The sequence below is a fragment of the Homo sapiens genome, chromosome 1 (genome assembly GCF_000001405.40).
Source record: "Homo sapiens chromosome 1, GRCh38.p14 Primary Assembly".
Classification (NCBI taxonomy): domain Eukaryota; kingdom Metazoa; phylum Chordata; class Mammalia; order Primates; family Hominidae; genus Homo; species Homo sapiens.
Window position 1 is genome coordinate 195,802,298 of NC_000001.11, and position 26,280 is coordinate 195,828,577.

The window sequence follows — 26,280 nt, forward strand, 5'->3', positions numbered from 1 at the left end:
CTGCTATAAAGACACATGCACACTGATGTTTATTGTGGCTCTATTCACAATAGCAAATACTTGGAACCAACCCAAATGTCCAACAATGATAGACTTGATTAAGAAAATGTGGCACATATACACCATGGAATACTATGCAGCCATAAAAAATGATGAGTTCATGTCCTTTGTAGGGACATGGATGAAGCTGGAAACCATCATTCTCAGCAAACTATCACAAGGACAAAAAACCAAATGCCGCATGTTCTCACTCACAGGTGGGAAATGAACAATGAGAAAACTTGGACACAGGAAGGGGAACATCACACACTGGGCCCTGTTGTGGTGTGGGGGTAGGGGGGAGGGATAGCATTAGGAGATATACCTAATGCTAAATGACGAGTTAATGGGTGCAGCACACCAACATGACACATGTATACATATGTAACAAACCTGCACGTTGTGCACATGTACCCTAAAACTTAACGTATAATAAAAAAAAGGGTGCTTTTTTTATTTTTATGTATAAAATTTTATGTATAATTTTATGTATAAAAATTATATCTCAGTACATAAAAAGCTGGAAAAAGTAAAACAAAGGACTGTCATGAGAGCACATACGAGGAATAGCTAATTTGGTTTTGGAAGCTAATAACAGGCTTTTCCGGGCAGAGGTATCAGAGCATTTTATTCTTTTTAAAGTGAGATCTATGAAAAGAACAAGACTGTGCTGGTAAAAGTGAAGGAAGAAAGAATATTCCAGACAGAGGAAGCCATCCGCACAGATTCAGGGAACAGATGAGAAAGACAGTGGCTCATTTGGAGAACTGAAAGTAGTTCAACAGAGCCAGAAAGAATAGATAGTGAGCTGGTGTGATAAAAGAAGGAGGTAAGGGTACTTGGGAGTGCATAAGTGAGGCTGTCTTTATTTTGCTCTTGAACATAAAGGATACTTTGTCCAGGTGTAGAATTCTTGGCTCACTAATCTTTCCCCTCTAGCAGTCTGCATTTGTGTTCATTGTCATTTGATGCTTAGTGTTGTTGAGACTTCTAAAATTGTCTGGAGTTTGTTCCACTTCAGGTAAACTACATTTTCTCACTCATTGAAGGTAAGGCTACGTTTCGATTTTGTTTTCTCAATATTATTTTTCCAGATAGTCAATGAATCCTATCAGTTCATTGTTCATTTTTATTATTGCCAATCCCTTTATCATTCTATTGTCAACTATTATAAATCTTACCAAACATACATTGGAAGCCTTACATCTGTTCTTCATGTTTCTTCTTTTCTGATAGTTTTATAAACTCCTTTTCCACTTATAATAAATTCTAAGGGAAAGTTTTATGCCTGTTATTCTCTCCTTATTTGATTTTCTGTTTTATTAATAACTCACTGGTTTTCCTTCTTCATTATTAATCTAATTTAACAATTGTTTTCTTTACCAGCACGTGATCATTCCCTTTTCATTACTACCAACTTTCATTTCATAGACACAATGTCCTCTTAAAAATAGTAATAACTAACAAAAAAGAGAGGGAGAGAGAGATTGATTGTAAGAAATTAGCTCGTGCAATTGTGGGGGTTTGCAAGGCAGGTTAGCAGCTGGTAACTGAGGCAGGATTTCCATGTTACAGTCTTCAGGGAGAATTCCTTCTTTGGGAAACCTCGATTCCACTTATAATGTCTTCACGTGATTGAATGTGGCCCTTTCCCATTATCAATGGGACTGTACTTAAAGTCAACTGATTGTAAATGTTAATCACTATGCAAAATAACTCCACAGTGACATCTAGATTAGTGTTTGACCAGGCAAGTGAGCACCACAGCCTAGCCAAGTAAATAGACCATCATGCAGTATAATTGACATGAGTTACTATGCATATATATAAAATATTATATTCATATATCATATCATATTTACATGGGATATTCTTGGTCCTCTTATTTCTTTTTCTATTCTACTCCTTATAAAAACATTTATCCTCATTCCTTCAAGTGGTTATATTTTTATGAAATGCACCATCATTCTGCTCGCCCAAATTGTTGCTTGTATTTTGTCTTTAATCAACAGAAAGTTATGTGAATGTCTGGATTTGGAGGTAGAAATGAATTCTGTCAAATCAGACTATGTTAGATAACCTGTCTCAAATTCCCATCTTACAATCTTTTATACGGGTTAAAAAATTAGCCCCTTTAATATAAGAAATATGTTTATAATAACCCTTCCTTGGTGTGCCTCACCTTGAATGCTCACTTAAGTTAAAAGTGACATTAGAAAAAAAAAAGTATACCTTCATCCAAAATTATTCTATGAAATAAAAGCAAAAATGTCCCTATCACACATAATCAAAGTGATTCATCTGGTAAGCTAGATATAAGCAAATTTTGGAATTTTGTTAAAATAGTTAAAGATAAACTATGTTACCTTTCAGAAAAGTAAAGGGAGTGGTCAGTGACTATTAATAAAACAAATAGTGCCATCTACTGTCAAAAAATTCTATTATGAAAGTTGCCATAAACATCATTATTTTTCAGTGTGATAGTGCTATAGTCATTTATTTGATATTCTAAAATTTCCAAGAATTTTTATTTATTTCAAATAATCACAGTTAAATTTCTAGTTCTGCTAACTGGAGTGGAATTTACATGTACTTAAATCAAATGACTGCCACTTTACAAAATCACTGTCATCAGGAAGCAATTTTTTAAAAGTGTTTCTTTGTGCTAAGAAGTACACGATGTAAAAACAACAACAACAACAAAATGCTTGTATCCTTTCCAAACACCATACACACACATGACTCAGTCAGAACTGCAGAAATGTAAGGATAACGATACTAAACAAGAGGAAAAATGAAAAAGACAGGAAAAAGCCTGGTCAAATTATTAAAGAAGTGCAAGCATTGATGCAACTTACTGATAAAGGTGAAACTGTAAAGTATACTTTAAAATAGATGCAGTAAGTAGAATTAGAGTTAGCTTCCATCACCTTTTAATCTACAAATGATTTTACAGAGAAAGCAGCATTAAAGATCTTTGTGGGCAATCAAAACAGTAATTTGAGAATAGCATTATACACTGCATTTAAGTAGGATTCAATAATTTTAAAGTGCAGGGACAAAATTTCCTCATATGGCTCACTAGCTACATTGCAAATTTCTTGAAATCAGAACACAGAAGTGCAGTCCTGTGCTCGCAATGCAGACTTGCAGGGTGTAGAGGCATAAATGGCTCCAGAGCCAGGGACATGGGTCCAGAGGGGGGTAGTCTCCAGAAGACTCCTTTCGGGCCTATTACCATGCCTCAGAGGTCCAAGTGGGGCATGGTGAATATATTATCCTTTATATTATATTTCTTATATGTCTACAACTGCCACTTCATGGCACTAGGACTAAAGGTTGGCCAAAGTACAAGATATTTGTCTTATCTGATGACAACTCTGTGTCCTGGACTCTCTTCCAGAATAAGACCTTTCCTGCAGCACTGCTTGAACTCCTCTTAGCAAGAGGGAAACATGTGAAATGCTACCAAAATAGAATAGAAGTAAATTCTTATTATATTCCTTTGTTCACTCATATCCTGAAGTGCATCAAATCAGGTTTTCTCACCTGTATAATGCTGTATTTTACTTGAGTTGGAATAATTTTGCTTAGAAATAAATAAGTAAAACAGCACCTGCCTCCAGACCTAGGGTCCATCAGGAAAAATATAAGGTATATGAGGTGTATGCTCTAAACCCAAGGCCAACATGTATAGGAAAACCTTAAGTCCTTCAGTGCATGTGCTTGGATGAAGAAGGTAATACAATTGTAGGCAACTGCAAGAGCAATGTAGGTAAAATTCACACCTACAGGCAGTCGTGAAAATTTTCCCAATATAAACTTGCACTTCACATGCACTTTTGTGGTGTGAAGGAGAGGAACTGGTGAGAAACTGATGAGAAATGATGATAAGCAGACTTTTACTGGAACATTGCTCAATCCCCTCTATAAGGCAATGATGCTATGTAGACAATCAAACATGAAATTGCTAGAAAGTTTATAGATTGATATAATCTATTTTAATGCATCTAGGATTCAGGTAAGCTGCGAAAAAGTAGTGCCAATATGTTTATTTTATAGGGGATATTTAAAATTAATTTTATTCTTTTTAAAATTGCAATGGTACCCAAATTCCCTAACTTCCTATGGTAGGCTGAATAACAGCTCCTAAAAATATCAGGTTGTAATTCCTGGAATGTGTAAATGCTATCTTATATGGAAAATATACCAATATGTGATTAAATTATGGAGTTTGAAATGAAGAGATTAACCTGATTTATCTGGGTGCATCCTACATGAGATCACAATTGTTCTTAAAAGAGGGAGGCAGAGGGAGGTGTGACACAGACAAAAGAGAAGGCCATGGGAAGACAGAGCAAGAGAGGGTAAAAGATGCTGGCCTTAAATATTGGAGTAATGTAGCAACAGGCCAAGGGATGCCAGCAGGAGTTGTAGGAGGTCAATACCTTGATTTTGACCCAGTGATACTGACTTCAGACTTGTGGCCTCCAGAACTGTGAAAGAATAAATTCCTGTCGTTTTAAGTCACTGACACTGATTTTGTGGTAGGTAATTTGTTACAGCAGCCACAGGAAACTAATACAATCTGGGTGAATTTCTCTTTCTATAATGAAGGATTCTTTCATAATTAAAAATATAACTTTAATATAGTTGGTATTATCAGCACCATGCTATAACTTCTGCAAAAAAGCTCTCTAATCCTTATATCTGTTTTCTTGATAAATCATACTGTTCTCCTCCCTGCTCACTGTATTTCAACCATACCAGATCCCTTAATGGGAAAGGGTATTTCAGACCTGGGCACTGGCTGTTTCTTCTGATTGGAGTACTTCTACCTCAGACATCATAATGATGAACTCTTTTGCCTTCTTCAAGTCTTAGATCAAATTATTCCTTTTTACTGTTTATATTCCAACTAGTGAGGGATAATGTCCCTCACTATCCCCTAGGAGATTGATTCCAGGAAGCTTGAGGGTACCAAACTCTGTGGATGCTCAAGTCTCTGATAGAAAATGCCATAGTATTTACATATGATCTACACAAACCCTCCTGCATATTTAAAATAGTCTCTAGATTACTTATAATTACTAGATTACTTATAGTCTCTAGATTTATATAATCTTATAAAAGGGTAAGATTACTTATTACTTACCCTTAATACAATGTAAATATTGCGTAGCTTTTATACTGTGAATTTTAAAATTTGTATTATTTTCATTACTATATTTTTGTTTTTTCTGCATATTTTTAATCCATGGTTGGTGAAATCCATGGATATGAAATCCGCTCATATGGAGGGACTGAGAACCAATCATATTCTATTCAACACTGCAACCTCCTTTCCCACCCAGCATAACAGACTAATTGTACCCTGCTTCTTCTGCTTTATTTTCTAAATCTCATTTCAATCTCTAAAATGTTATGTAATTTACTTAATTGCTATGTTCATTTTATATCAACTTTCTGCCTCTTCTACTATGTTATCTTCTTGAGAGAGAAGATTTTAATCTCTTTTGCTCACTAGTGTATTCCCAGTGCATAGAACAATATCTAGCCCATAACAGGTATTCAGTAATTTTATTCTTGAATGAATAATTGAAGGAAAACTTTTAAAAATCCATTACCATAAGGTAGGGATGCAGAGAGCCTAAATCATACTAAAGTGAATTTCAGCTTTCAGTTCAAGCTGACATATTATCAAATCTTCTTATGTTTTTATCATTTCAACTTCTGTTCTGTGCTAGCTAAAGTCTCGAACTTGGCTAGGTGTAGTGGTTTATGCCTGTAATCCCTGTGCCCGGGGAAGCCAAGGCAGGAAGATCATTTGAGGCCGGGTGTTCCAGACCAGCCTAGGCAACATAGCAAGGCCCACCATCTACAAATGATATAATAAAATAACAAAATTAGCCAGGCATAGTGGTATGTGACCTCAGTCCCAGCTGCTCGAGAGGCTGATGAGGAAGGATCACTTGGCCCAGTAGTTGGAGTTTGCAGTGATCTGTGATCACACCACTGTATTTCAGCCTTGGTGAGAGAGCAGACCCATCTTTGAAAAAAAAAATTAAGTCTCAAACTTTATTAATAGTGTAACAGAATGAGCAATACTTTGGAGACATGCTGCTGCTATATATATATATATATATATATATATATATATATATTTTTTTTTTTTTTTTTTTTTTTTTTTTTTTTTTGAGGCAGATTCTCACTGTGTCACCCAGGCTGGAGTGCAGTGGCGCCACCTCGGCTCACTGCAACCTCTACCTCCAGGGTTCAAGCAATTCTCCTGCCTCAGCCTCCCAAGTAGCTGGGATCACAGGTGCCCACTACCACACCCAGCTAATTTTTGGTAATTTTAGTAGAGATGAGGTTTCACTATGTTGGCTAGGCTGGTCTCAAACTCCTAACCTCAAGTGATCCACCTACCTCTGCCTCCCAAAGTGCTAGGAGTACAAGTGTGAGCCACTGACCCCGGCCCTTATATTTTTCTAATTATCAAATAGGCTGTGAGAGTTTCTATTTACCTAGGTCCTCAAAGTGTCTTTAGGAAAAGCTATACCCTGGACAAAGGCAGGTTGGCAGAAATACCAGGGGTTGAGCTTCTGCAACAAGTTTGGGTCATAAAAACTGCCACTAGGCCTGTCAGGCAACTTCCTGAGTCAATAAAATCTCACATTAATAGATATAAAGAAAAAGCAATTGAAAATTTTCCAGATAAACTGGATTCCATCTGTAAAGAGGAAAATCTGTTTTGTGGTCCACTTAGTTAGCATCTTCCCTGATCTATTCATAAGAGAAATCAAAAGGAACTTCCAATTTCTTTATGGAAAGGGGCTGAACTACTAAAAGAATGTATCACTTTAAATAATGAGGAAACAGTTTGTACTATGATATGATATTGTGAAGCTGTACCCTGTAAAAGAAGGAGAAACTGACCATGCTCTGACCTGAAGGAGCATGGCACCAGCAAAAAAGACCTGTAGGGAAGAAAGAATCAACATAGGAAGCTGAGGATGTGGAACTTCAGTAACTACCAAGTGATAGATGAGCAACTCAGGTTAACTTATCAGGGAAAGAGAATGTCCTTTAGCATGAAGGTCATAGCCATTTGGATGTTGAGGACATGCAACACAAGCAATTTTTCATACCATTTTGTTTAAAATTTATATTTCCTAGATGGTATTTTCCAGAGTTGTTTAAAACTAACTTTTACATTTGATTACAGAATGTTTTAATTTCGTAATCTGTGACACATTTTCTCCGTCTGTTCTTTAGAAATGCATTTTAACAATAAACAGATCCAATTAAAGAAAGTTGTGTTTTACTTTCCTTTTTAACGATGATGTAATTATTCAAATTAGAAATTAACATTATGCTGGCAGGTTTTGAATACTATTTTTGGAAGAGGTGAGAAATTTATCACCCTATTCTATTTCAAAAAGGTGCGTTTTAACTTATATATTTAGAATTAAATGGTTAAAGATGATTCTTTCAGGGAAAGTTATAGATCATAGGATCCTAGAATGATAAATCAGGAAACAAGGGTAGAAAAAAAAGAATGAAAATATAAAAAGTCTTTTGTTACAACAAAATCTAAGAAATCTAAATAACAATTCAGAAAGAAATTTGGAGAGAAGTTTGCAATAGAAAATGTGATATCCAAATAATTGTGTATCAGCAAAGATTAGAGAAATAACAATGTGGCATGCTCATGGTAGAAATTTCTCCTGAATCAAATTAAGTATGTTTGTATAGTATATTAATTCTGCAAAGAAAAATTATCAGATCATTAACACAACCTAGGATTTCAGGATGAATGAAAATTAAAGATTCAAAGAAAATGTTAATATATTTGATTGTTTTTATACAGTTGTTCTTAAAACTAATGGATGATAACTGTTTTACTGAACATTACATACTAAAGTGAATTCATTCCAGAATGTAGTCAGGCCAGGCTTGGTGGCTTACGCCTGTAATCCTAGCACTTTGGGAGACTAAGTTGGGCGGATTACCTGAGGTCAGGAGTTCAAGATCAGCCTAGCCAACATGGTGAAAACCTGTCCCTACAAAAAATACAGAAATTATCTGGGCATGGTGGAGCACACCTGTAATCCAAGTTACTCAGGAGGCTGAGGCAGGAGAATTGCTTGAACCTGGGAGGCAGAGGTTGCAGTGAGTCGAGATTGTGCCACTGCACTCTGGCTCCGATGACAGAGCAAGACTCTGTCTCAAAAAATCAATCAATCAATAAAATAAACAGGAGTGAAAAACAATCCCTATTTCCAGCTTCTTGGAGTTCGGTAGAAGAAAGTTACATAAATAGCTAATATCAGAATAAATTCCAATTGAAGAAATTATGTAGACACATTCTTTTGGTCTCAGCTGTTCTATACAGTCATAATTGATTTTGCTGCTTCTCAAGTGTCTTCTTACTTTCTTTTTAAAGCGGATGAGTGTTCTGCAGACAGAAACATTCCAGTCATGGAGATCAACCTGTGCAAAGGCAGAAAAGCACAGATGGAAATAGGACACATGCGGGAGTCCAATATCGCATTAATCCAGGAAGAAGGTGTATCATAGGTGAATGTTGAAATGTAGAAGCAATAAATTTCATAGAAGTATTAAAAGAAGGATCACCCAATGTATAAAATAATATCTCAGCAGGGTCCTTTATGATTCAAAGTACTGTGTTTGTGTGCTAGAGGATTTGTATGTTTGGAATAGGGAGTCTAAATCTTAAAAAAAAAATCCATACTTCACAGGGTATAATATGCACAAGGGATGAGGAAGAGTCTACTGTAGTCAGTGGAAAACTAGAGATGTGGATCTTACTATCCCTAGAATACATGAGCAAGTGGAAACAGGTTGCACAATCAACAATATGTGTTTAATAAAATGAAGATTCTGCAAGAATTTACAAAGAGGTATTCTAAATACATTCTGAAATAAAATTGTGAAGAATCATGAAATAATGGCTATATTAGTTTGATTTCAGCTGATCAAAAATAAATAATGAAGCATTAGTTACAAAAATGAGTCATATTAAACTATATTCATAAGGTTAGTGGCTGCCTCTACTCCCCAGAAAGAATAAAAAGAATATGCTGGAAACTTGGTCACTGGGATCAGACCAAGGACCTACTTAACAGAATTTGGATATAAGATGTGGACCTGATCACAGGAATATGTAGAACTTTCCTACATTGGTCAAAGATTGTCAGAAGACTTTCTAAAATAATCAAAAAGTCAGTAGCCATGGACTTCTCACATTTTCAGTGACTGGGTCTATAACTAATCTCTATATTTTGATAGGTGAGAGATGAATCAAATTATTAGAGCAATTGTCTTTAATATTCAGTATACATAGATATCATCAGAGATGTTTATTTAAAATTCAGATTTCTGCATCCTTTCTTCAGAGCTATAATTCATTATATTTGGGGTGGGTTTCAGGAAACATCATTTTGGACAAATATCCCAGTTGATTCTGACAAATATCATCTTTCAACAACAAAATGTCTCAGTTGATTCTGATAAATATCATCCTTCAACAACAAAAAAGAAACAAATAAATAAAAATGTTTAAAAATAAAACTACTATTACATTGTCTGTTTCCAGAAGAAGGTCCAGGCATCAACCACTTGAGAAGATTCCAATATACTGTGACAAGCACTTGCTGATTACCTTCCTTCTCACATTCGCCAGTGAATTCATACTGTCTCAGGTATGATCTGCATGGTCCCTATAAGGGTTATCAGCACCTAAAATAGTTGCTATTCTAATGCTAGATAATAAAATGGATCTCTGATCTGTAGGCAGGGAAAACAATGAGTCAAATTGAACCACTACTGTATTTTTGAATAATTGTTCTTTATCACAGACTCAAGTATCTTGTAAATTCTCTGGTCTAAATATGATTGTCAAAATACTTTGAAACTACTTGACATAACCACATGATAAATTATATATTACCAATAACCATGTCATACCCTTTGTGAGATCACCTCTGCTGATCTACCAAGTAATATGGGTCATAATTGCCATGGGATTTAGTGATTACTGTATTCCACTATGATAATGCTAAGGCATTTACAATTTCAAAATTATACACATACTAGAAATCTAGGTAGATGTATAAAAGCAAAGGAAATTTCATACTTTGAATAGATTCATTTGCACATAGCAGTTTGGTTTTAAAAGATACAGCCTTAAAATCATTGATATTTTTAAACACAGATTATATACAAGTGCATTACATCTCATTTTTCTTATATCATCACCTACAAAGAAAGAAGAAAAAAATGAAATATTTGATGAGAAGAATAATTGAATGAATGATAATTAAGAGCCGGGTTTATATCATACGCCAGTTTCCATGTTGTAAGTACTCCCAATAACTGATTTCAAACTACCCATGTGATGTCATTGAAGGCAGAGTTGAAAAAGATTTTCAGTAGAATACCAGAATATTGCTGTTTCCACAGCATTCATTCAACAAATACAAATAACCTTAAAAAAGCAGAGATAATATAAAATGTAGTGAAATAATATAAAATGTAGAGTTTATATTTACATTTAGCATATCACCTTTACTTTAAAAATTATTTAATCATAATTTTACATAATTTAATTTTTATTCATTTGTTTTACAAGTGCCTTGGTAAATTACTGATAATTTAAAAATTGTCTCTCACCAGCTTGTGTGAGTCAACTAGAGTACACCAACTAATATTTTATTTTTCGTACAGACAGGGTCTCACAATGTCTCCTAGGCTGGTCTCGAATTCCTGGGCTCAAGGAATCCTTCCTCCTTGGTCTCTCAAAGTGCTGGAATTACAGGCATAAGCCACTTCACCCAGCCAAAAATGTATTTATCTACAGAGAATTTATAATTTTATACAGGTAAGATGGAACTTCAATTTTATGTTATTATCTGGATAGGTAAGTTTTGTAATACTGTTTCAAATAACTTACTCTTTGCCCAAGTTGATGATAGCAACTTTCACATACATAAAATTCTTACATACTGAAGTCTATTCCTAGATTTTATTTTTATTAAATTTGATACATTTGTCTAATTAGTAATGAGAATACCACATTGATTTGATTCTCAATGCCTTATACTATGTTCTACAATCTGGTTAATCCCTTCCTGTTATTAAACTCTGTACTTTAACATTTTAGGTAATATTTGCTATAATTTTTGATAAATGATATTCATCACATTTATATTTTTCAATGATTTACTTACAATTTTTATAATAAGTGGCTGCTGAATTTTATCTTATGCTTTTCAGAATCTATCAATATGATCTTATAATCTCTAATATTAAATATTATCATATTACTTGAACTGCAAATATATAGATATATTAATATTAGTTTTAATATTAAATAGGATCATATTTATTTGAGCTGCAAATATATACTAATAGATACCTTGTTCTTCATTCTCCTTTGCATTTCTATAATATTATCTACTTGCTTAGATGAGCTGAAATAATTTACGTAAGTTTTCAGTTATTGTCTTTTAAAGAAGAAAATAACAACTTTAACCCCATTTGGTGCTTTTTAAAATAGATCCATCTTTTTCCACGGTGTCTTTGGAAATTAGTTTTTTTTTAAGTTGTACAAAGTTCTTCTAGGTTCACATATTTGTCGTTACAAAATTATTCATATAGGATTGGCTTAAAATCACTTAAATGTTCCCTATATCTACATTTGCTTTCCTTTACCATTCCTGGTCTCTTCTACAATAATTGGGTTATGTCTAAAATGGGAAGAGTGGTAACATTTCTTTTGATAAAAGTTTAATGCTATCTTCAGCTAACATGAAATATATATTTAAGTCTGTAAACTTCATATTTGTTTCAATGCCCTTAGTTTCATTAATTTCACATTTATGCTTAAAATTCTACTATTACTAGGTTGAATTAAATTAAACTGCTAACATTCCACTTGTTTTGACAAGAACAAAGCAAACAAACAAAAAAACAAACACACAATTTCAGAAGTTTCATAAGATTTAACATATTAAACATTTTTTTGGTCCTTTGCCCTTCATTGTGTTTCTAACCTTTAGCACAGTGCATGTCATACAGTACACCCTCTCTCTAAATTTTGTTGAATAAATAATTAAATTTGTTAAATACTCAGTTCTTACTATAGTTTAACACATCACAGTCTAGTATGATTCTGTCTTTCCAGAATTATTGTTCTTCATTAACAAACTCATTCTAATATTCCAAATGTAATAGAATTATTTTCATTCCATTTACACGATATGCAGTGTTTGCAAATGTCATTAATTCTATTCAAAGTGTCTATTGTAGTTTTCTCTGTTGCCTCATCATAAAAGGCACATTCTTACAAGTTATATTGCCATTTGGTTGTCCCAAACCTAAAGATGCATGCAAAAGTCAACAATTCCCATACTGACCCTTTTATTTATCTTGCCACTTTGCTGCTTTTCCATGATTCTCTCTTATACTGAATGGCATCAACATCCACTGGTCCAAGCCAGAAAAATCTCAGACATCTGCACAATTAGAATATGTAGTAATGAGAACTGTAAAGAACATATAAGCAAGGATAATATCTAGTTGGAAACTTATTTTAATATACCTCAATAAAATTATCACGTAAGTCAAAATTGTTTTAAATGACACATTTTTTAGAAGAAATGATTGGGGAAACTATATTTATATAATGATTACATTAGAAATCATGAATTTAAGTGGCATATATAGGCCAAATGCTTTTTTTCAATACGCATTAAAAACCAACATTTCAAGTATTTAATGTAGCATTACATCTTTATAGTAACTAAACAAAATCATGACTCAGAGAGAAAATTAAAAAATAGAAGATGAGTGATACAAATTTTCATGCTATCTATTCAAAATGTGCTTGACCTTTCTTTCTTAGACAAGTTTGTAAACACATCATAAAATATTATATGAGGTGATCAGTATGAGTATTGTAATAAATTAAAATGTTTGGCAAGGTCTATTTTTTAATTTACATACAATATTTGGATTTACCTAAATGAGTTGATGAAATTGCTAAAAATAATGCCTCCTGTAACAAGACTTTTTAAAGCATCTACGAATTCATATTATGAATGTGGAAATTAGTTGAGTAAAGCTAAGAGGTACACATATGCTTCAATTAATGTATTAACTAATGACAGATGATATAATGGCTTAATTATTGATTACTATCTTGCTGTTTGAACATGAACATTGTAGATTTTGCTGTTTCTTATAACTTTGTAGTAATATTTATGTGTTGTTATTAAAAATAAAGGTATGGAGATATTTCTAATTATACAAAAGATATACAAGGGCCAGATGTGATGGCTCATGCCCGTATTCCCAGCACTTTGGGTGGCTGAGGTGGGTGGATGGCTTGAGCCCGGGAGTTTGAGACCAGTCTGGCCAACATGACAAAACCCCGTTTCTACTAAAAATACAAAAATGTGCCACGCCTGGTGCCAGGTGCCTGTAGCCCCAGGTACTTGGGAGGCTGAGGCAGGAGAATCACTTGAACCCTGGAGGCAGAGGTTGCAGTGAGCCAAGATCGTGCCTCTGCACTCCAGCCTGGGCAACAGAGTGAGACTCGGTCTTTAAAAAAAAAAAAAAAAAAAAAAAGACATGCAAAAGCAGGCATAAAGTTTCAATTAAAATCTCTTAATGACTTTAAAGAACTAATTATACATAATATATAGTAATGTATTTATTTACTAATTTATTTTTTAATTCATTTTATTTTTCACTTATTTAATTTGTGCTTGGCTCTTTTCAAGTTTCTTTTATAGTTTCAAGTTTCATTTATAGTTTCTCCCTGCTTTAATATTATTTTACTTTTTTCTCAACTTTTATTTTGGATCAGGGACACATGAGCAGATTTGTTACATGGAAATATTGCATGATGCTGAGGTGTGGAGTATAGATCTCATCAGCCAGGTAGTGAACTTAATACTTGCTAGGTAGTCTTTTACACATTCTCCTGTCCCTCCACACTCTAGTAGTCCACAGTGCCTGTTTTTTTCTAAATTTATTTCCATGTGTGCTCAGCTTTTAGCTCCCACATATAAGTGAGAACATGCAGTATTTGGTTTTCTGTTCCTGTGTTAATTTGCTTATGTACATGTGGGCTCAGCTTTTTGCTCCCACTTATAAGTGAGAACATGCAGTATTTAATTTTCTGTTTCTGTGTTAATTCACCTAAGATTATGGCCTCCAGCTTCATCCATGTTGCTGCAAAGGACATGAGTTCATTCTTTTTTATAATTGTGTAGTATTCTATGGTGTATATGTACCACATCTTCTCCACTTTGTAAGTTGTCTGCTTGCTCTGTTGATAGTTTATTTTCCTGTGCAGAAGCTCTTTTGTTTAATTAGGTCCCTTTTGTCAATTTTTGTTTTTGTTGCAATTGCTTTTGAGGGCTTAGTCATAAATTCTTTGCCAAGGTCAATGTAGATAACGGTATTTCCTAGGTTTTCTTTTAGGATATTTATAGTTTGAAGTCTTACATTTAAATTCTTAACACATCCTGAGTTAATTTTTATGTATGATGAAAGGTAAGGGTCTTTTTCATATGCCTAGCCAGCTATCCCAGCACCATTTACTGAATAAGGAATGCTTTCCTCATTGCTTTTTATTGTCAACTTTGTTGAATATCAGATGTTTGTAGGTGTGCAGCTTCATTTCTGGGTTCTCTATCTTATTTCATTGGTCTATGTGTCTATTTTTGTACCAGTACCATGCTGTTTTCATTACTGTAGCCTTCTAACATAGTTGAATTCAGGTAATGTGATTCCTCCAGCTTTGCTCTTTTTGCTTAGGATTGCTTTGGCTATTTGGGCTCCTTTTTGGTTCCATATGTGTTTTAGAATAATTTTTTTTTCTAATTATGTGAATAATTACATTTGTAGGTTGATAGGAATATTGCTTAATCTGTAGATTGCTTTGGGCAGTATGGCCATTTTAATGATATTGATTCTTCCAATCCATGAACATGAAATGTTTTTCCATTAATTTTGTCACTTCTGACTTCTTTCAGCAGGAAAGATCTTTCATCTCCTTGGTTAGCTGTTTTCCTAGGTATTTCAGGGATTTTTTTGTGAATATTATAAATGGGATTGCATTCTTGATTTGACTTTGTGTGAGAACATATTGGTTTATAGAAATCCTACTGACTTTTCTACATTGTTTTTGTATCCTGAAAGTTTGCTGAAGTCATTTATTAGTTTAAGGAACATTTGGTGGAGTCTTTAGAGTTTTCTAAGTATAGAATCATATCCTTAGTGAAGAGTAATAGTTTGACCTATTTTCCTATTTGGATGCCTTTTATTTCTTTCACTTGACCTATTGTTCTGTCTAGGACTTCTAGTACTATGTTGAATAGGCATTGTGTGAATGGAAATGTTGTTTTTCTGTTTCTTGAGAGGAATGGTTTTAGCTTTTGGCTGTTCAGTAAGATGTTGGCTTTGAAATATGACAGACAGCTCAATATTTTGAGGACTATTTCTTCAATGCCTAGTCTGTTGAGGGTTTTTATCATGAAGGGATGTTGGATTTTATCAAATGCTTTTTCTTGTGTCTATTGAAATGATTATATGGTTTTGGTATTTATTCTATTTATGTGGTGAATCACATTCATTGATTTGTCTATGTTGAACCAACCTTGTATCCCAGGAATAAAGCCTAGCTGATAACGGCGAATTAACTTTTTGATGTACTGCCAGATTAAGTGTGCTAGTATTTGGTTGAGGATTTTTACATCTATGTTCAGCAGTTTATTGGCCTGAAGTTTTCTTTTTTGTTTTGTTTTGTTTTGTTTTCTCTCTGCCAGAGTTTGGTATCTGGCTGATGCTGGCTTCATAGAATGATTCAGAAAGGAGTGCCTCTGCCTCAATTTTTAAAAATAGTTTTAGGTTTAGTACAATTCTGGTAGAATTTGGAAGTGAATTCACCTGGTCCACAGATTTTTTTATTGTTGTTGGTAGGTTATTTATTACTGATTCAATTTTGGCACTTGTTAGTGGCCTGTCAAAAAAAGACATACAAGTAGTCAACAAACATATGAAAAAATTCTCAACATTATTAATCATCAGAGCAATACAAATCAAAACCACAATGATATACCTTCTCACACCAGTCAGAATGACTATTATTAAAAAGTCAGCTGGGGTTTTTATGGTTCTAGGTTTTATGCTTAAGTTTTTAATCCAGCTTGAGTTAATTTTTGTACAAGGTGTAAGGAAGGGGTCCAGTTTCTGTTTTCTGCATATGGGTTTTTCTAGCACCATGATTAAATAGGGAATCTTTTCCCTATTGCTTATATTTGTCAGGTTTGTTGAAGATCAGATGGCTGTAGATATGTGGTGTTATTTCTGAGGCCTCTGTTCTGTTCCATTGGTCTATATATCTGTTTTGGTACCAGTACCATGCTGTTTTGGTTACTGTAGCCTTGTAGTATAGTTTGAAGTCAGGTTATGTGATGCTTCCAGCTTTGTTCATTTTGCTTAGGATTGTCTTGGCTATATGGGCTCTTTTATGGCTCCATGTGAAATTTAAAGTAGTTTTTTCTAATTCTGTGAAGAAAGTCAATGGTAGCTTGATAGGAATAGCATTGAGTCTATAAATTACTTTGGGTAATATGGCCATTTTCATGATATTGATTCTTCCTATCCATGAGCATGGAATATTTTCCCATTTGTTTGTGTCCTCTCTTATTTCCTTGAGCAGTGGTTTGTAGTTCTCCTTGAAGAGGTCCTTCACATCCCTTGTAAGTTTTATTCCTAGGTATTTTATTCCTTTTGTAGCAATTGTGAATGCGAGTTCACTCATGATTTGGCTCCCTGCTTGTCTATTGTTGGTGTATAGGAATGCTTGTGATTTTTGCACATTGATTTTGTATCTTGAGAATTCCCTGAAGTTGCTTATCAGCTTAAGGAGTTTGGGGGCCGAGACAATGGAGTTTTCTAAATATACAATCATGTCATTGGGTAAAAGAGACAATTTGACTTCCTCTCTTCTTATTTGAATACCTTTATTTCTTTCTCTTGCCTGATTGCCCTGACCAGAACTTCCAATACTATGTTGAATAGGAGTGGTGAGGGACAGCATCCTTGCCTTGTGCCAGTTTTCAAAGGGAATGCTTCCAGCTTTGCCCATTCAGTATGATATTGGCTATGGGTTTGTCATACATAACTCTTATTATTTTGAGATATGTTCCCATTCATGACACAGGCATAGGCAAAGACTTCATGACTAAAACACCAAAAGCAATTGTAACAAAAGCCACAATTGACAAATGGGATCTAATTAAACTAAAGAGCTCCTGCACAGGAAAAGAAACTATCATCAGAGTGAAGAGGAAATCTACGGAATGGGAGAAATATTTTGCAATCTATCCATCTGACAATGGTCTAATATCCAGAATTTACAAGAAACTTAAACAAATTGAGAAGAAAAAAAAAACATCAAAAAGTGGGCAAAGGATATGAACAGACATTCCTCAAAAGAAGATATTTAAGAGGCCAAACAAACATGAAAAAAGCTCATCATTGGTCATTAGAGAAATGCAAATCAAAGCCACAATGAGAGACCATCTCACACCAGTTAGAATGACGATCATTAAAAAGTCAGGAAACAACAGATGCTAGAGAGGATGTGAAGAAATAGAAATGGTTTTACACTGTTGGTGGGAGTGTAAATTAGTTCAATCATTGTGGAAGACAGTGTGGCGATTCTTCAAGGATCTAAAACCAGAATACCATTTGACCCAGCAATCTAATTACTGGGTATATACCCAAAGGATTATAAATTATTCTGCTATAAAGACACATGCACATATATGTTTATTGCAGCACTACCTACAATAGCAAAGACTTGGAACCACCCCAAATGCCCATCAGTGATAGACTGAATAAAGAAAATGTGGCACATACACACTGTGGAATACTATGCAGCCATAAAAAATGAGTTAGTGTCTTTTGCAAGGTCATGGATGGAACTGGAAGCCATCATTCTCAGCAAACTAACACAGGAACAGAAAACCAAACACTACATGTTCTCAGTCATAAGTTGGAATTGAACAATGGGAACACATGGACACAGGTAAGGGAACATCACACACCAGATCCTGTTGGGAGGTATGTGGCAAGGGGAGGAAGATCATTAGGACAAATATCTAATGCATGCGGGGTTTAAAATCTAGATGATGGGTTGATGTGTGCAGCAAACCACTATGGCACACATATACCTATGTAACAAACCTGCACTTTCTACACATGTGTGCCAGAACTTAAAGTAAAACAAACAAACAAAAAACAAAATAAAATAAAATGCAGTGTGTTCTTAAAAAAATGAGTGAATAATTTAACTGTTGTCAAAAATTGTAACAATAAAGGTATCTTGAGAGAAAAAAAAGTAAAAAAAAAAAACAGATGTTGGTGAAGCTGTTGAGAAAAAGGAATGCTTATACACTGCTGATGGGAATGTAAATTAGTTCAGCTACTAGGGGAAACAGTTTGAAGATTTCTCAGAGAACTTAAAAACAGAACTACCATTTGATCCAGCAATTCCAATACTGGTTATATGCGCAAAGAAAAATAAATTATTCCACAGATAAGATACGTGCACTCATGTTCATCACAGCACTATTCACAATAGCAAAGAGATGGAATCAATCTAGGTGCCCATCAACTCTGGATTGGATAAAGTAAATGTAATACATGTACACTATGGAATACTACACAGCCATAAAAAAGAATAAAATTGTGTTCTTTGCAACAACATGAATGGAGCTGGAGGCAACTATCCTAGGTGAGCTAATACAGAAACAGAAAACCAAATGCTGCATGTTCTGACTTATAAGGGTGGCAAAGCATTGAGTACACCTGGAGATAAAGCTGGGAACAATACAAACTCGAGACTACCAAAGCTGGGAGAAAGAGAGGAGGTGTTGGCTGGAAAACTACCTGTGGGGTATTATGTTCATTACCTGGGTGATGGGATCATCTGTAGCCCCAACTTCATTGGCACCACTCAGTATAGCCATGTAACACACCTGCACATGAAGCCCTTGATTCTAAAATAAATTTTTTTTGAAAAAACATTGCACTGAATAGAGGTAACAAAGTTTGTTGGTGCATTTACCTTTTGAAGGATATCTTGGTTTCTTTCAGTTTGGGCAATTATGAATTAAACTATTTTAAACCTTAAAAAATGAACAAATTTCTGAAATCATGATGATGATGATGATGATGATGATGAGTGAGTACCATCTATTGTACACTAACACTGTGCTTGGCACAGGGCTGTCCTTTATCATATTTTGACATTTATTCCTCACAAAACTCTTAAGGATAAGACTTATATCTCCATTTTCCAGATAAGGAACTGAAACACATCCTTTCAGAACCAAAATAAAGATAAATATTTCTGGCCCAATGTCCAAGCTCTTAACAAGAAATGAAAAAGGTAAATAGGGAACTGAATAACTCAGCTTTACCAGAAGTGGAAATACATGTCTGAGAAAGAAAAATGAAAGTAAGTGGAATTATTAGCATGAGCTCAGACTCACAGTGCATTAATGATATGATAGTAACATTAATACTTATAAAGTGAGAAATAGGAGGATGTTGCCTACTTTTGAATGTGAAGGTGATGCAGTGATGCTGTAACATCATCACTCTTTTTGGCTTTAATAATGCTTTTTTAGGTCGGGCACGGTGGCTCACGCCTGTAATCCCAGCACTCTGGGAGGCAGAGGAGGGCGGATCACGAGGTCAGGAGATCGAGACCATCTTGGTTAACACGGTGAAACCCCGTCTGTACTAAAAAAAAAAAAAAAAAAAAAAAAAAAAAAAAAAAAAAAAAAAAAATTAGCAGGGCGCGCTGGCGGGCGCCTGTAGTCCCAGCTACTCAGGAGGCTGAGGCAGGAGAATGTCGTGAACCCGGGAGGTGGAGCTTGCAGTGAGCCGAGATAGCGCCACCGCAGTCCGGCCTGGGCGAAGGAGCAAGACTCCGTCTCAAAAAAAAAAAAATACATTTTAAAACCCTTTTTTTTTTAAACCACCTCTTACATTTTCTACTGCTGAAAAGATGTTCAGAAAACCTCCAAAAAATATAGGGGTACTAGAAAAAATATATATATATATGTTTTTTTTTTTCAAGAAAATTGCCTCTGGTGTTTTAGTCACTGCCTAATTCATCTCAATACCTAATATTCTATTTTTTAAACGTTACTATTAAAAATAAAAATAATTTTCACTAAATAATATTAGGAAGAAATAGCTTAGGGGAATATATAAATCTGAATGGTAAAGAAAAATGATAAGTTTTCTTCTAAAAACGTATCCCAAAATATCATAAACTGGTTATAATTATTTTAGTTTATTCGTACATTCATTTATTTATTCATATATATATACACACACATTTTTTTACTCTGTACTAGGTACTGTGCTCAGCAATGATAAAATGGACTCAAAAGACATGCTTTCTACATTTAAGTTGTACCACATAGAATAATTAAATGATCCTTTCCAGCAGTTATACACCCTAAAAGATATGACACATATACAGAAATCTTTTGATTTACTGTCAAAAATTTGCAAAAAGAAAACAAAAAAAAGAATGATGTTGATTTCACACAATGATATTATAATAGGTGTGAATCAATGTTTTGCTTTGTTTTTGTTTTTGTTTTGTTTTGTTTTTTTCACACTAAGTATGGTATATTGAAAAATCTGGGCCAGGTGCGGTGGCTCATGCCTGTAATCCTAGCACTTTGGGAGGCTGAGGCAGGTGAATCACTTGATGTCAGGAGTTAGAAATCAGCCTGTCCAACATGACAAAACCCTGTCTCTACTGAAAATATAAAAATGTGCCAGGTGTGATGGTGGGTGCTTGTAATCCCAGCTACCTGGGAGGCTGAGGTGGGAGGACTGCTTAAACCTGGGAGGTGGAGTTCACAGTAAGCCCAGATCGCATGACTGCACTCCAGCCTGGGTGACAGAGCAAGACTCCATTAAAAAAAAAAAAAATCTGTTTCAAAGATCCCATTAAGAACATTATTCCAGAAGAAACATACTTTGAGCCATTATTATACGCTAATTTAGAAATGGGCTGAATTTTATATATTAGTGCTACTAATAAAGTCACATGCCCCACAATGACACTTTAGTCCATAAGTAATCACATATATATTATGGTGGTCCTGTAAGATTTTATTATTGTATTTTCACTGTACCTTTTCTATGTTATGATAAACAAATATTTTGTGTATTATGTTTAGATACACAAATGGTTTGTGTATCTAGACTTAATAAACTTTGTGTATTCTTTTCTATGTTTAGATACACAAATACTTTGTGTATCATAGGCAGTGTGTTACTAATTGCCTATAGTATTCAGTACACTAACATGTTGCACAGGTTTGTAGCCTAGGAGCAAAAGACCACTATATAGCCTAGGTATACAGTGGCTAAACCATCTAGTTTTGTGTGAGTATAATCTATGATGTTTACACAAGGACAAAATTGTCTAACAGTGAATTTCTCAGAACATATCCCTGTCGTTAAGCAACACATGACAGTATTTGAGTTTGTAAGATTTAAGCATACATATCTAAGGGAAATTATCACTATACATTCTTACAGTAGGCTACCTTAAATATTTAAGAAGATTACAGAGCTTGGTGGATCATTGCTAGACCATGTAATGTTCTTTCTCCAACTTATTTTCCTTTCTAATAAACAACCTGGAAAACTTTGGTTCATATTATTCAATATTTATGCACTGGCTAATTTAAAGAAGCAGTAATCTAAATCCAGAAAGCTTAAAAATACATTTTTAACCAAAGGTATTTAAAGAGACAGTAATTGTCTTTACACATCACATTCAACAAAAAAAATCATGAGCTATCTTTAAGGATATATACTCATTGCCCCATCCTCTATCAATTCCTCAATTTGTGTTAATGGATGAAAAACATCAAACCCTCAACTGCTATTCTCTAAGCTGATTCTCAGTGCCACGCTATTGTATCACACAATCCCCTCACTTCTGAAAAATATTCTAAACTTTCCCATAAAAACATATTTTGAATTTTGTTTTGAAGTAAAAAGATAAAAGCAAAAAAAAATTAAAAATTAAAAATTATATTTTTTTTAACTTTTGAAGGTAAACACTGTTTTACAAGGACCCAGCCATGACACTGTCAACAGATTTGACATCACTTTACTCTATGAATCCAAGGTACGTGCCTTAAGAACATGTTGAACAAAATGTAAGAACATTTTGCCTACATGTTGGTTATTGAAAGACAATGTGAGGCAACTCATTTACATTGGTGGCAGAAATTAACCTTCAGAAATGTTGTCACCATAAATACATTTTTAGGCACACATCGTTTTATCCATACATTATTGAATAAAACAAGAATAATTAGGTAAAAATACCAGATTACTGCTCTACAAAGGCTGAGTGCTTTCATTCAAATGCAAACAAACTACAGTAGATATTTAGATTCAGTGGTAAGAAATAATACCACTTGTAGAGGACTGTGTTGCCTACTGCTTCTAGAAAGGCTTCAATGTTTAAAGGTAAAAATTAAAATGAGCAAAGGAAATTTTTTTAAACGTGATTTATTTTCTTTGGCTATGTGTCTTGAAACAGATCAAAATCATTGTATTACACACCTAAGGCAAATAATAATAATGTGTTCTCTGGATTTTATAAAATCAAATCTCAGTGATTTATATTCACCCTTTCTAATAGTGATGTGCAGATCATTACTGAAAGCATACAATTCTGAGTGAAGCTACAGAGCTATATGTAATTGATATCTTTATCAAGATTTAATATTCCTCACGGTTGAATAATGACTTCCTTTGGTGAATATATAAAACTTTCACCTTATTTTACCATTGTTTCTTTCATCAATCACAGAGCTACGAGTAATTGGAATGTTTTGCTGAGAACAAAGAAAATGTGGAAAAGTATAACTGCCAATGATTTTTAAAATTTATTTTAATTTTAAAACTTCCATTTTACATTAAGTTATATTTCTAGGAAAGTATTAAAAGTTTGTTGTTTGAAACTCAATACTTCATTATATCAGTGTTGTATCTCTGAATGTCATATATCTAAGAAATCATAATCCATAGTGGAAAAATCAATTCAACTCAAATGATTCTGCATTTGAAAATATCCAGACAATCTCTTATTAGATTTTAAAAATGTTAAAATATGATTTAAGGAATACTTTGTATCATTTTTAAGTGTCCAAGGTGCTACTGAGCAAGTCAAAAAAGAAGTTTTATATACAATATGCTGAAAAAAGCTCACTTCAATTAAATCATAAATCTCTGTTCAAAGAGTTGAAGCAGATTAAAAATAACAAGAACTTTATAAAAATATAAAAAACAAATTATAATGTACATTATTTTAAAATAACTTTACAACAAATAACTTTATAACAATATTAAAAAGGATACACACTTTTAGAGACTCAACTTATATCAGTGCACCCTCACTGAGGCGGAAGCTAAAATCTTTTCTATTTTTATTTGTAAAAATAAGTTTTAATGTTTGGATTACAATCTATTCATTTGTGGTTCAAATTTACAATAACTTTTAAATATGTTTAGCTCTGCTTGTATTGTAAATAATTTATCTCTATGAAAAATAAGGAAAAAAATCTCTGTTAATTCACTGATCTACAGGTGACCCTAAATGTTTTAAATCAATGAATGTTTAAATATATAATCCCTAGGTCCTTATGCTACTTTTGACGTTTACTTTTTGTATAACTTTTCTTACACATTTGTACAACTTTGATATGTTTAACAGATGGGTTCATTAAAAGCTAAGTATTCCAGGTTGCTGTATTGTGCAATTTGTCACCAAAATACTGGCTTTGGTCATATTTGCAAATTGTTTAATTAGCCAGTATTGGCTTACTATCCACAAGTTAGAGAAAGGCAGACAGCACAATGGCAAAACTAAAATGTCAAAATAAAGCAGCGAGTCACCTATTGTACTTAGTTTTTCTGGGACAGTCCCAGTTGATGCTTGTTATCAAGGTGAAATTACTAATTGTGCACAAAGCTTGATGAAAGATTAAATGACTATCCTTTTCCAAGAGGAAAATACCATTTTTTTATGAGACATAAAACAGAATCTTATACTCTTAATAAAAATTAAGTTATTTAGGAAGACTTGTTTTTTTAAACAGTAACACAATGTCTACCTTTTGGGCAAACCATATGCCTGTCCAAACTACACAGAATACCACTAATACTTATACAAACGTACACACATTATCCTGTGAAATCTTCATGAACACCATTATAATTAGAAATTAGGATCTGGGTACAGTGGCATGTGCACATAATCCCAGCCACTTGGGAGGCCCAGGTAGGAGGATCCCTTGAGGCCAAGAGTGTGCTATGATTGTGGCTGTAATTAGCCACTGCACTCTAGCCCGGGCAACACAGTATTAAATAAATGCATAAATAAGCAAACAAATAGAATTTAGAAATAGAAACAGCCACTGTTTGTTGTTTCAATAGTAAGTGTGTATTAGTAAAACTTTGGGCTAAAATTATAACAGCTAGAATGAATATTCAAAATACAATAAATTTCAAGTCCTAAAATAGTCACAAAAGAAAAATTTAGCTTAATCCGGGCTTAAAACATTAAAACTTTAAAACAATTACATAAAATTTAAAGGCAAATCACCAAATAGGATATGACTGCAATGAATAAGACAATTATAAAATTACCAGCCATAAATAAAACCTACTACGAATCCTTAATGTATCATCAATCTACTACAAAAAGTGGTAAAAAATATGAACTAAATATTATAGAATAAAACAAAAGTCCCACAAATATACAAAAAATGTTACATGTATTTGAAAATAAGTAGATAAAATTTTGAAACATTAAAATCTATGAGTATTAAACTAACAACTTTAAAAATATAATAACATTTCCATATTGTTAGCTATGTTGAGAGAAAATCACTGCTAATAAGAGTACAAATTTGTACTCGCTTTCTGAAAGTATTTAGATTTCTCCAGAAAATGCTCATATTTTTTGAATTGTTGATTTTTTTGAAAACAAAAAGTAATGAAAGTTATATAAAAATCTAATATTTTCAACATTTTTGAGGATATTACTCAAACTATTATCTTAACAAATAAATGTTTATATAATCTAAGAAGCAGTGTCTAAATATTAACAAATATTAACATGATTAAAGTAGTTATGATATATAGTAATATTAAAGTAGTTATGATCTATAGTAATATTAACTATTGGTGATATGTAATGCTATTATAAAAGGTAAATGCAAACATAAACCCATAAACAACATAATTCCAACTGTGTAAAAATAGATCGGTGCGTAGAAAAAAAGGTTTAAAGTAAAATGCTTTAAATTGCTATGTTAATTATGTATGGATAGTGAGAGTTTGAGTGGTTTTTATTTTTTACTTTTAATGTATTAGCAAATTTTTACTTAATGACGTTGAACAGTTACAAAAATTGTAAAGTAATTGAAGTAAAAATAATTGCCCATAGCCTAAGACCTATCTGAAAGTAACAACTGACTTTCTACTCATTCAATATATAATAAATAAAATAATATATACAAATACTTATTTTGTGGCCAAATTCATGTAACATTAAATTAGCTGTTTAAAAATATGCAATTCAGTGGCATAATCACACATTTACTATATTGTTCAACCATCTTTTTTTCAGTGTGTTCATGTATAAACATGTATATTGCATTCATGTATATTACTAAAAGCTATTTAATTCAGAAAGATTGTTTTCTTTCTCTCAATTTATATGATTCTATTCAATTATTCCCATGGTTGTATGTTGACTTATGCTGCCTCTGTTTCATTGATGAATACATCTCATTTTCTTAATTAGAAGGCAAAAATAAATACATAAAGTTTTTGGTTCACATCAGAAAAAGTTTTTCATAGGGATTGGAGATCCCCTGAAATATATCTAAAAATCCCTAGGGTACAGCAATTGCCTTTGGAGGAACACTCATAAAAGGTGAACACTGAAGTTTTGTGAGATCACTTAATTACTATGTCATAAGCCAGAGACCATCTTGACACACATACTGTGTAGCAGCATTCCTAACATGCCTGCACTATAGAGAATACATTAGATAGTCACTACAATAAAAG